Source organism: Homo sapiens, chromosome 21, assembly GCF_000001405.40.
Source record: "Homo sapiens chromosome 21, GRCh38.p14 Primary Assembly".
NCBI classification, from domain to species: Eukaryota; Metazoa; Chordata; class Mammalia; order Primates; family Hominidae; genus Homo; species Homo sapiens.
The window spans coordinates 28,819,857-28,833,379 of record NC_000021.9 but is presented as its reverse complement, the minus strand read 5'-3'; the positions used below and the strand labels follow the sequence as shown (position 1 = coordinate 28,833,379).

At 39.2% G+C, this 13,523-nt stretch overlaps 1 protein-coding gene across 1 annotated transcript in view; it reads left to right on the top strand.

The window, feature by feature from the left end:
- HEMK2 (HemK methyltransferase 2, ETF1 glutamine and histone H4 lysine) overlaps positions 1-13,523 on the top strand; it is a 309,770-nt gene that overhangs the window by 51,988 nt on the left and 244,259 nt on the right. Inside the window, exon 8 of the transcript XR_007067787.1 lies at positions 11,407-11,475. The gene's annotated coding sequence lies outside the window, so the exon portion shown is untranslated. The remainder of the gene's footprint in view (positions 1-11,406; positions 11,476-13,523) is intronic.

Sequence of the window (13,523 nt, the reverse complement as noted above, 5' to 3'; positions counted from 1 at the left end):
CTAGGAATGTAAAGATGTGATGTCACCTGCCACTTGGCACATCTCCACATCACATCTCTGGAGCCTGTGGTTGCTTGGCCTTGTGTGCACAAAGCTATCAGCCCATAGACAAAGGTGGCTAAAATTCTGTGCGGTTTTATTTCTTTCTAATCAAACTATAAGTGGCTTTGTTTCTTTCTGATCAGATATTCTTTTGCATAGAAGAGGATAGTAAAAGCGTGGACCTAAGACAGACAATACTACCAATTAGAAAGAGCCAGAGAGAAGACTCAGGACCAAAAAGCCAGTTTTAAGTCTTGACTAATTTTATGACTTCAGGCAAGTCACTCACCTTTTCTGAGTGTTAGTCTCCTATCTATAAAATAAAAAATGCCGACCTACTAGGTTGTTATGAAGACCAAATGAGATAATGTGTTAAAGTAACTAGTTCAACACCTAGCACATGATAGGCACCTAAATAAGACAAAGTCTTTAGCTCAATACCTAGTGCATGGGTGTTACTCCAGAAATATTAGCTGAATCTGAATTTGAGTTCCTTCAGAGCAGGCACTCAGTTCATCATTGCTGTTTGAACATACGTATCAATACACGAATGGTTATGGTTAACTTAGTAGTCTGTATGTAGGGCAACACTTGTATGTTAAATCCTCTAGCAATGGATAAGTGAGATAAGCCAAATATTTAGAGTATGAGTATTTGTCACACAGGTTGTGAGAATGGGAGAGTTAATGGTTCTTAGGTGGAACATGATGTTTAGAGAGAGTTTTAACTCTGAATACAGGAGGAGCTAGATCAGAACAATCTTCTCAATTTATATCATAATACAAGTTCTTTGTTGCAGCAGAATCCACCCTCAATTCAATGATTCATTTGTTAGTTTACTACTGCTATTAAATTTGTGTTCAAAAGAGTTAAAGTATTTCAACATTTTTGCTTCCGGCTCTTATTACTAATTATTTACATCAATGGTAATGGAGACTCTTGGAGAGGTAGAGAGAAGAACAAGAAGACTCCAGGTAACAGAGACACACTCAAGACTGCTCCTGATTGTTATTTCCTCTCTCAACCCAGCTTTGTGATTGTATCACCTTTGGCTAAAACCACATCCTGAAACATGACTGTGCCTCTTTGTACTGCCTCAAGCATATTTGCCCTACAATGTGAGATCTTTTGCCCTTTCCAGGGAAGGATACTTAAGTCCAGTCCTGATAATAAGGCAGAGTGACTCCAGGGAAAAATGCCTGGTGTCTGGGCTCTGCTCTGTTGGGTTTATGATGAAAAACTGCAAATCAAAAGCTTTATGTACAGTAATGGTGCTTTTAAAGTCTGAGAGTGCTACATAAATATACATTCCTTGTTAAAAAAATAGTTAATTCTCTTTAGCAGTTTGCTAGTATATTAACTTTCACCTCCTACAAATATGATATTTTAGTAAACAGTTATACTATATACCTTACAAAATCTGAATTAAACAGTGTTTTTTGTTTTCTGTCTTGTGTACGTATAGTAAAAATGACACAGAATACAAACAGCTATGGAACATGAGTGTGACAATACTCAGCATATAGGTATTAGGGACCCATCACTGTTTGAAAGGTGATACTGTTTCTTTCTTTCTTTCTTTCTTTCTTTCTTTCTTTCTTTCCTTCCTTCCTTCCTTCCTTCCTTCCTTCCTTCCTTCCTTCCTTCCTTCCTTCTTTCTTTCTTTCTTTCTTTCTTTCTTTCTTTCTTTCTTTCTTTCTTTCCTTCCTTCTTTCCTTCTTTCCTTCTTTCCTTCTTTCCTTCTTTCCTTCTTTCCTTCTTTCTTTCTTTCCTTCTTTCCTTCTTTCCTTCTTTCCTTCTTTCCTTCTTTCCTTCTTTCTTTCTTTCTTTCTTTCTTTCTTTCTTTCTTTCTTTCTTTCTTTCTTTCTTTCTTTCGTTCTTTTCTTTCTTTTTGAGATAGAGTCTCGCTCTGTCACCCAGGCTGGAGTACAGTGGCATGTTCTTGGCTCCCTGCAACTCTGCCTCCCAGGTTCAAGTGATTCTCCTGCCTCAGCCTCCTGAGTAGCTGGGATTACAGGCGCCCGCTACCACGCCCAGCTAATTTTTGTATTTTTAGTAGAGACGGGGGTTTCGCCATCTTGGCCAGGCTGGTCTTGAACTGCTGACCTCAAGTGATCCACCCACCTCGGCCTCCCAAAGTGCTGGGATTATAAGCATGAGCCATAGCTCCCAGCTAATACTGTTCTTTTTTGTGAGTTTTAATCACTAAGTTTCTTCTGTTTGCGTAGCTATGACACATGGCATCCCTCCTGCCCCTACAAATTGATTTCTACTCCTTTACTGAATACCAGTGGTCCTGGGCTCATAAATCTACAAAGTGGAATCCAGAAGAAATCAGAATAAAAGACAATACATATTTTAAAAAATTTTCTACAGATGGATAGAATACTAATTTTCCATTTCCTTTCTTCCTTTCACCTTCTATTCTTTCTGATACCATTCTTTTTTTTTTTTTTTTTTAAAGATGGAGTCTTGCTCTGTCACCCAGGCTGGAGTGCAGTGGCACGAACTTGGCTCACTGCAACTTCCTCCTCCTGGGTTCAAGCGATTCTCCTGCCTCAGCCTCCCAAGTAGCTGGGATTGCATGCGCCTGCCACCATGCCCGGCTAATTTTTTGTATTTTTAGTAGAGACAGTGTTTCACCATGTTAGCCAGAATGGTCTTGATCTCTTGACCTCATGATCTGCCCACCTTGGTCTCCCAAAGTGCTGGGATTACAGGCGTGAGCCACGCGCCTGGCCTCCATCCATACATTTTTTTAAAAAATAAACAACATTTTGAAGATATTGTAGAGTCTGTTCTCACACTGCTATAAAGAACTACCTGACCTGGATAATTTATGAAGAAAGAGGTTTAATTGACTCACAGTTCCATAGGCTGTACAGGAAGCATGGCTGGAAGGTCTCAGGAAACTTACCGTCATGGCAGAAGGTGAAGGGGAAGCAAGCACGTCTCACCATGGTAGAAAGAGAGAGAGAGTGAAGGGGGGGAAGTGCCACACACCTTTAAACATTTATCAGATCTCGTGAGAACTTACTATCGCAAGAGCAAGGGAGAAATCTGCCCCCATGATCCAATTACCTCCCACCAGATCCCTCCCCCAACATTGGGAATTACAGTTTGACATGAGATTTGAGTGGGGACACAGAGCCAAACCATATCAAATATTTTCTGCCGTAAGTGTCTGGATGTACCATACCCAGGGTTCTCAGTTTTAGATAACATAATTGTTATCTAATTATACAGATATAAGATATACTCTCAGCCTGGAGGACTAGTCTCTGGCAAGAATTCAGGGAGACAAAATGTGGCTAAGATCTTAGTGTAGGAAGAGCCCACCCTTCTCTGACTGGGAGCAGACAGATCTTCTCCCTCTTAGGATTCCGTATTGGGAGTTGGGACCTCTGCCTACCATCTTTCCAGGAATTTTCTCCAAATGAACAGGACATTTCATGACAGTTTGCCAAAATGAAACACGTTCATTATAATGGGTATCAATGAAATTTTCACTCTGATATGAACCACATCTTTGTTTTCCAAAGTTTTAGAAACAGAGTGTATGTTCTTGTAAACTAATTGGTCTAGGGAAAATACCTCTTTGAGAGGACATAATTAACTCTCCCTACTCAGATGTCTTAAAATCCATGGAGTTTTGTCTTAAAAAGAATTGCTGCAGCTGAGAATGGGATACTGCCTTAGTCTGTTTTGTGCAGCTGTAACAGAATACCTGAGACTGGATAATTTGTAATGAACAGAAATTTATTGGTTCATAGTTCTTTAGTTGGGAAGTCCAAGATTGAAGCACTGGTATCTATCAGGGACCTTCTTGCTGTGTCATCTCATGGTGAAAGGCATAGGATGTCAGAGGGCAAAAAGAGGATGGGAGAGAGGAAAGGTGACTGACCTTATTTTATAAGGAACCTACTTCCACACATTCATCTATTCATAAATGCAGAGCCCTCATGTTCTAATTACCTCTCATTGGAACCTACCTCCCAACAAACACTGTTGCATTAAAGGTTAAGTTTCCAACATATGCTTTCTGAGGGACACATTCAAACCTTAGCAGATACCAAGGGGCAACTCACAACTAACAAGACTTGGGTAATGGTAGATGACTAAGTGCTTACTGTGTAATTAGCAATTTCACTTGTTCTAAAGAAGCATTTCTCAAGAGACAGCTGCAGTCCATCTTCATCAAAATCGTTAAAAATGAAGATTGTTGAGGATCCCTCCAGGCCTTCAGAATTAGAAATTTTAAGAGGAGCTCTTGAAGTCAGCAATTTTTATAAATCCCCAGATGAACTTTAAACCCACTAAAGTTTGAGAAACACCAGGAATGTAAAGGAATGCAGGTCTATTAAAAATTGTTAAAGCTCTTGTTAAAATCACTCATTTTCAGCCTGTCCTCTCCCTGCTTATAATAATCACTGTATATATAGTTTTATTAAATATTGCATTTATATTTTACTAAGAAAGATGCTATTCTAAGGCTTAATGAATTAAAAAAAACAGGTTGTTGCAGCTGAGTCGGTTTCTTCACAGAGATGGATATTCGTAAAGTGTTAGGTGGCTATTTGGGTGAAAGATCAACAAGCCCACTGGAAACTTTTGGAAGGTGAGCTGGCATGGAATTTCTGGAAGAAAGGGAACATTTTCTGACAGCAGTTGGTCAATGCAGAACTTTCAGATAATGATGGATTGGCAGTCGAAGGGCTACCTAAGCTAAGTGTCACCAAAGTGCCTTTGGTCTGTTTGACCTGCTTAGTGTCTAGTAGCTTCTTAGTTTAGAAAAAACTGAAGGCTGCTTCAATTTATTTACAAATGTGTTGTTCGGAACTGGTGCCACTATTATGAGTGTTCACCTAGTAGTTCTTAGAGCCTCATTCGTATTAGAGTTACCTACATTCTCTACTTCTTGTTGGCACATGAAGCATTAAAATGAGGGCTTCAAGGTCACTTTAGAGGAGAAAAGCCCCTCAAATCAACTCCCCTCTTTCCTTAGCTTGAAATCTCTCATGATAAGCCCAACATGTGCATCTAAATCCCACTGCTCCACCCCTTCCTCCTTACTTACTGTGTCACGGGGTTTTAAACCCTTGGAGTTGGGCACATCTGCACACAAATCCTGTTTCCATCACCTGTAGTCTGCAGGCTTTGTGGGTCTTACGCTTATATCAGTTTCGAAATACTCTTTCAAAAATAGATAAGAAAATGTATGAACATGCAAACATGTTTCTAAGAACCCTTTCTGGAACCTTAGAAAAGCCTATGCTAGTGGAGGACTTGTAGCCTAAGCTACAAGGGGTAAGTTACCTGATACTCTACATTACATATACATATATAAGAATATAAGTATATGCACATACCTACATACATACCCCTCAGAGAACTATGGGAATTGACAGAGATGATATATACTGGCTCAGAGCAAGTTTTCAATAAATTGCAGCTGTTGTGGTTAAGTCCCACAGAGATAGGTTCAAATAAAATGGTTGCAAATTATCAACTCAAATAAGGAAGTATTAAAAGCAGCATGCAATTTCTTGTAAGAACTCATCAAAGCAAAAACTAGATGCATGCAATTATAACAGTAGAATACAAATAATCAATATAGACATTCTAATAGTTCACTACATAAGTGATTTCAACATAGTGGTTAAGATCTTGAACATGAAGTGGACTGTCTGTGTTCACTTCTTGCCCCATCATTGACAGACTGAGGGTAAACTAGTTAATCCCACTGTGATTCATTTCCCCTTGATTTCTAAAGTGGAGAGAGCATGCTGCTTGTTACGCAGGGCTGAGGATTGAGTGGAGTAATGTGTGCAAAACACTCAGTGTAGTGCCTGGCACATAGTAGGTATCACTAAATGGTAGCTGTTGACAGTCTTAGAATCACAATAACATTTGATGAGACTCTGATCTCTCAGAAAAGCAATAATTATTTTTTTCCCAAAAGTGACTCAAAGAAGAAGCTTCTGAGAAGGAAGGACTTAACTGTGGTATCAAAGACAGTTAGTTGCACTGAGAATAATACAAGGCTGGGGAAAATTCTCTCTCATCTGTGCTTCTCTGAGGTTGCATATATCCTTTTATTATAAAACGTCTTAGAGGTACTGCAATTACTTGTTAATTTGTCTGCTTGTTCTATTTGATTACAAATACCTATAAAGCAGTTCCATTAGACTTTGTAGCCTTTCTGCCTAGCATGGGGTCTGGCATTGAGATGGCACATCATAACTATCTGTTGAATGAAAGATTGAATGGATGGGCAAATTCCTGTTTCTTCTGGCATTTTCTCCCAGGTTATCTGGGAGATTTTCAATCTTCTCCACTCTGCTCTGAACTCCCACTTCAGCTCTGGGAGAGTCTCCTCGTCGGATCCCTCTGTTTCAGCCTACTTACTGGATGACATGGCTCATTCCAGAAGGACATAGGGTACTTGCATTTTGAAGATGCTGGTTATGCCAGGTTCTCCTTGATCATGAAGACTCAGCACATTGGGACACTCAATTCACTGCGGCTAAAGTTCATTATCATAGTGAATATTTTAAGTGTGATTGAGAAGATTATTTCTACATAAGCAGCATTTTGCAGGAGTTAGTTGCTGGGAGGATGGATTAGTTCAGTGTTTGCTTTCGGATTTTGTGATGGTTTAGGTACTTTCCCTGGTGATGATCCTTGTTACTGTTAAACGTTTTCTGTTATTATTTTTATACAGTCTGTGGATAACGTTAGTGAAGAACATCTTAAACATCTCTCATGATTAGTAGGCTGTGTTCCTGTCAATAGTGGCCCTCATGCTCCCCATTCTGGTGGAATATTAATATTTGGTTATGAAAGAGATTTGAAATAACTCTGGCATGCTGGGAATGACACTAAGGATCTTAGGTGAAATCCATATTCCCAACAGAGAGATTCTTTCCCCAGATTTAAATGTCCTTTAGTGTTTTAGTCATTTTGAACTGTGTGTTCATTCCACTTAGCTTATTTTTGTGTGTGAAGGAAACCAAAAGAACATGGGAGACTCTGCTAATATTTACAGATGGGTTTTAGTTCCCCTACTGATGTGTACTTATCAGGGCTCTTTAAGGCTATACTTACAATGAGATCTTAAGTGTGTGTGATGACTGTCAAAAGGCAGTGAGAGAGACTTCCATCTACGGGGTGTCTGGATGGTTCTGTTTGTGCTGAACTTTTCCACTTTCATGAGTTTAGAAAAGCTGCAGGCCTGAGGAGTCATTTAACGTGTTTTGCCCATTTAAAGCAAATGCATTTCAGCATTTATAGACAATATTTCTGGGTGCCCTTTTATCCTCTCTTGAAGGCTATAGGTTGCAATGAGCATCCTGGCTCTCTGCCTCGTTTTCCAGCTGGCTCCTCCTCTTCTCATGTGTGCTTTCTTTCCTTATGGCTGGAGCCAACTGACCCAGAGATGTAGGTGGATCTAGGCTGTAGTCTTCTAAGAGCACAATTAGGGTGACCAGATGTCTTAGGACTGAGGGGTTTCTAGGCCCTGCACTTTCAGTGCTGAAGTAGGGAAATTCCTGGGAAAACTAGAATAGTTGGTCACCCAACTTTTATGGTTGTCAGGGGATCTTTAAAATTCCTAATTCAGGAACTCCAGTGACTGACCATTAAGTCTGTGCTCCTCAATGATTGCTTACGCATTGAATTTTGCCTTGTTCCTAAGGCCAACACCACACCTTGCACCCACATCCAGTAGAAAGATCTTGGTCATACTTCTTTAAGATGGAGCTCCTGTTTTGTTTATCTGCCTAGTACTCCAGATCCTCTTAGCCTGGTCCTGCCATGTTAGCTCACATTTGCTCAGTGCTTTGAGTCCTGCCTTTGGTCCCTAGCTCATATCTCTGCCTAATGTGGCCTGCTAGCTCCCTAGTGCCAAGACATCACCTTCACACCTATTACTTATGCTCAGCTGAAAGTCTAGACTAGCACCTAGAGCAGTGGTTCTCAAGGCGTGATCCTGGGACCAACAGCATCAGCATTACATGGGAATGTGTTAGAAATGCAAATTCTAGGCCCCTCTCCAGACCTACTGAATCAGGAACTCTGGAGGTGGTGCCCAGCAATTTGTGTTCTAACAAGCCCTCCAGGGGGTTGTAATACACACTCAAGTTTGAGAGCCCCTTCCCTGGGTCATGCACTGTGCCTTCCCAGCTAGACTTCAAAGCCTGAAGCCAAGTCTGCCCACCTTCATGGATCTTTAGATTGTCCCACTCCCTGCCCATTGCTGGCCTGGCTGATCTTCCTAACTAACCTTAAACTCCCATTCCTGCATAGATCTTCAAAGCAGTGTTTATTTCCACTGCTGATAGGGACTGTCCAGGTTTGCCCAAGACGGGTTAACTGGGCACAGGACTTTCAGTACTAAAACTGAGAACATTCTGGGCAAACTGGGAGGGATTAAAAACCCTAACTGAGCAAGCCCATTAATACATTCAGTGATGTTGCCTTATGGAGACAGAAAAATGGAGAAATAGAAGGAGGATTATTGACCCTTTAGGATATTCCCTTCTTTATAATAACAACAACAAAAAAGCCAAGAGGAAGACTGTCCATTATGGAGTGTGGATGGACTACTTATTTGAATAATTTTTAGTATTGAATAGGCTACATTTCAACTAGGACTGTTCAAAGACTCTCTATCTCTCTCTCTCTTTTTTTATTTCTGGGAAGCAACTCCAGTGAAGTCAGAATTTTAGAATGAATTTGTTGTGTGATCTCAGGCGGAGTACTAATCTTTTGCTTTATCTATAATTGGAATACTAATACGTTTTTCTTCTAATTACATTACAGTAGATGAATTGAAGACAAATGAAATTATGTGCTATCTGTAAAAACTGTTTCTTGCATGGGTGCTATATAAATATGTAATTTTTAAAACAATAACAAACTCATACACACACACTTTTCAAAGAGAACATGAAGTCTTTTGCAAGATATGAGAGGAAATCAAAGGTAGTATCTGACCACTTCAGATAGGAGTGATTTCTTCCTGTCGTAAATTCTGATAGAACCTAAAGTCTAGAACCATGGTTCACAGCCTTGGATGCCCATTAGAGTTACATGTGGACTTAACAACGACAACAACAACAGCAGCAACAACAACAACAATGACTGATGCTCAGGCTCCCCCTTACCCCAGAGGGTCTGATTTAATTGGTCTGCTGTGGTACTAGGTCATTGGTGGTCTTAAATTCACTAGGTGATTCAAATGTGCAGCCAGGTTTGAGAATCCTGAGTCTAGAATAGTTCTCAAACATTACTCATAAGCATCATTTGGGAGAAGCTTATAAAAAAATGCAAATTTAGCCCCCTCCTCCAATCAAGTAGATCTGGGGTGGGATTCAGGAATCTGCTTAATACACAAGCTTACCTGAGGGTTCTGATGGAGATGATTGGCAGATCAGGTAACTTTTAGAAACCTTCTAGAAACCTTCAACTGTGACTTCTTTTTTTTTTCACAGTATGTAACACATGGTTAGTAGAGGGTTAACATATGGCAGGTACTTAACATGTGCTGAATGAAGTTTGCTGATTTATGTCCAAGAGACAATGATTTTAGCTCTTAGATTGTAGGGTGCTAGGTCCTAGGATTTGCGGGCTACTTTTTAACTTATCTGTGTCTCAGTTAAGTCTGATACAGACAAGGTAATATAAGAGCTCAGTATACATCTCTATAGTGCTCAGATCCTTACCCAGTTGGAAAATGCCCCAACAGTAGGAAGATAACCCCACATTGCGGATTAGGTTGTAACCCAGCTTTGTGTTTCAGTGTCTGAGATGGTTCAGTGGAAACAGAGATTCCATGTAAACTTTAAACAACAACAACAAAAAGCACCAGCCAAAAGAAATTAGCAGAGCACACTGTGATATCCAAATCTATGTTTTTATAAAATGATTTTTCTTTCTCTTAGAACCTAATTTTTATGCTCAGATTCAACAAACAACGATCTATTGAGTTTTCTAAGTGTTATCATGGACTCAGAGATGAAAATCCCCAGAGCACTTTGAGCTTTCCTGTTGAAAAATCACAACAGAAAAGCAAAGCCTTGGATATAAAACTGTCAAAAGCCTTTGGATATAAAATTGTCAACTTGGCAGTTTAACAAGGCCCACCCTGTTTGCAGCAAAAGGCCAAAAGTCCAAGACAAGCAAAGGCCTATAGCAATCACTTAACAGAATTAACCCTGCTGCCCTGTTCACATTACAGTGCATTTGTCAAGCTTGATAGCCATCTCTCTTCCTGGAGGAACCAACTTTTTTTTAAGTTGACTTTTGTTTTCTGAGCCATGCCAACATTCCAGCCACATGAGAGAGCCTGAACAGATTTAAACCCCAAATTCAAAAATGCAAAGTACTGTTTGTACTACAAACATACTACAGTTGTCAGCAAGCAGTACACAAACACATTAGAAGGGGTGAATGGAAATCGAATGGAGTAATGGACGTTAATATCTGGGATTAGCCATCAGGTGGAATGCTACATTTCAGAAGGTCCATCTGAATTGTAATGGGCTTCCCAAAAGTTTATATATCAAGTCATTATGGCACAGAGCTTTGTTGATGCTAATTACAGCAGCTCAGCTAGATAATTAAATATAACCTTCAGTAATAACTGGGGAAAGGAATGGCTCCAGCTGGAGTTCCTCAGCTTTTTCATAGCAAAGCTAGTCTAGCAATCTAACAATTACGAGGGCTCAGGGATATATATATGTGTATATATATATATATATATGCATTGTAGCCACTTTTATGGTGTGGCTCATTTAAGGAAATAAACTAGGGAAATTCCTTACATATTTTATTCCACACATGTTCTATAATTTTTTTTGTTGCAATTGGTCTCCTATATCTTTTTAGAACATGAGCCAAGAAATTCAGCATTTTTAAAGCAAATTACTATTTCATATGATGTGTGATTTAAATTGTGGGTATCTTAATATTGTAATAGGACTTGGACCACAATTGCCAAATGATTAAAATAGTCAAACCTTATATTCTGCTCAATTTGGAATGATATCATTAGGTAAATTTGTAACTGCTAAGGAAATGAAAAAATACTTTATTTTCTTTGTCCCAGATGGTATATAAGATACCTCCCTGAGTGCTTCTAAACTGATTGGCTCCACTACAAGTCAAAAAGGAAAATGACTTTTCAGAGTGTGGCTAAACTAGTGATTGGAATTCTGTAGCAGAATAAAATGTCCATAAAAGGGAAGCAGAGAATGTAATATTCTACATGATAGAGTATCTCTCTTCTTTGCAGTTGTTTGTCCATATTGCCTCATTCAATTATACTGATATTTGTGTTTATCTCACTTTTTGGTCCTCCAGGAGGTATTACTGAGGTAAACTTCCAGTATCCAGATCCAAAGCGGTGGACAGTGAAAATAACCAGAACTAGTAAGTGTTGCCACTAACAAATGGAGAAAGGGCAAGGTCTTGAAATACCTTCTGATGTGTAAAAAAACCTTCTAAATTATACTTTAATTTGAATATATTTGATTATATTACATTTTTCTTTGAAGATTGAGCCACCAGTATATTCTAGCAGCAAACAGATGTCAGAATTGTTGTTTTTATTATTAGCGATTGGGGGAGGGGCACTGGAAATTCTTGGGAAGAGTATTCTTGGGTTTTGTGAGACTGGAAATTTGGCAGAAGTCTACTGATTTTTTCAGATAAACATTTTAGCTTCTTTTCTTTGGTACTCTGCCATTGAACTTTCATTTAGATTGTTAAGATAAAGGGGTGCGGTGGAAAAGTGGTATGAGTTTATAGACACAGTCATTGTTATTCCTCCTTCCAAATTCCTCAAACTAGGGAAGAGAAACTAGAATTTACTAAGTATCTATTGAAAGTCAGTTTCTTTCACATAGGTCAACTCATTTAAATATTTCCAGCAAATTACCCAGTTTTGCTATTATCTCCACTTTTACAGATAAAGGAATAGAGGCTCAGAGAGGTTAAGAATCCCGCAGTGGGGCAGCGGAGATTCAGATTGAGGTTGCCGATTCTGGAGCCCACAGCCTCTCCCTCTGTGGTGCAGTGTAATTAGTGCTAGACAATGGAATAGGTTTTGGAAGGTGTCAGTGAACCAAATGGAGGGGGCCGGGGTCGGGTGATGGTGGGTGGAGTGGAAGGTTGGCAGGAAAAATCTTCAAAAAAAACTGAACAACAGAGTAAGTCCAAAGTCAGACAAAAACTGCATTTCAGGCATTTATTGTTTATGCTTTACTATCTTTATTAAGAGTCACAGAAGTATAAATATAAGAAATGAAAACATTTGGTTTATGGAAAAGTAAGAAGAGGAAAGGAATACACTGATAGGTAGGGGAGAATGCTCAGACAACTGGGATACCTTTGGAATTCAGCCCTTGATGTACGTGTCGAGAAACCACTTTACTTGTGTATTTCACATAGGAGGTAAAACAAAAACATATGATTGCTTCAGATTCCCTGCATTTCAGCTTCCCCACATTTTTATAAGACAAAGAAAACCCCCTATGGAAGACATTCAAAAAATAAGAGCCAGAAATATAGTAACCCAAAAGTTACACACTTTTTGTATGGGTGAAGGGAAAGCTTGGAAGGTTTGCTGAAAAATCAACTCACAAAAATTTAGATTAATAAAAGAAAAGGCACACAGATTTATTACTATTATGTGCATGTAGGGAATCTCAGAGTGATTGTCCAATATTCCAATGGGATACAGGTGTTTATATACTCTATTTCTTAGGGGGAATGGAGATGGGGAAGTGTGGATAATTTTAGGGGGATAATAAATGATTTTTAGGGGAAATCAGTGGGCTTGAAGAACATACAGTGGTCTCTTGGGCCCACAGAGCAGTCAAGGTTTTGTGACAAAAGTCTGTCGAGGTCTGTTGACAGACTTTAGTCTTCCTTCTTGCAATATGGGTTCAGTTAATGAAAACTCAGGGAAGGGACCAGAGGTCATTGTTTTCTTCTTTGGTAGGTCCAGACTTTAGGCAGATGAGGGAACTTCAGCTTGTGTTTGGGAGAGGCAGAGGATTGAGAGGCAAGAGGTAGGGGAGGAAAACAATTCCTCTCTTTATGGGTCTCTCTGGTCTTTATGTAGATAGGGAAAAAGTATCTTCTAAAATCTGTTGATCTCTAAAGGCCTTTAGTTCAAAATACTCATTATACTAGGGAGCCATATTTTGGGGTCAAGTTCCCTGAACTCCTTCACTTTAAAGCATTTGTATATCATGATGAAATCTGGAGATTTTCTTGTACATTTAGCTTTCTATGAAAAAGACATAAATTGTTAACCCATGAATTCATATCACTTAATAAATTGACAGCCAGAATGATATTTCTGAGGCATTTTTACAATAAGAACTCATTGGTTAAAAAGTCATGTACCTTAGGTGAGATAAAAGTACTAAGTAAAGGACCTGGGAAGACTTGGTAAAGAAATCGTTAGAAAA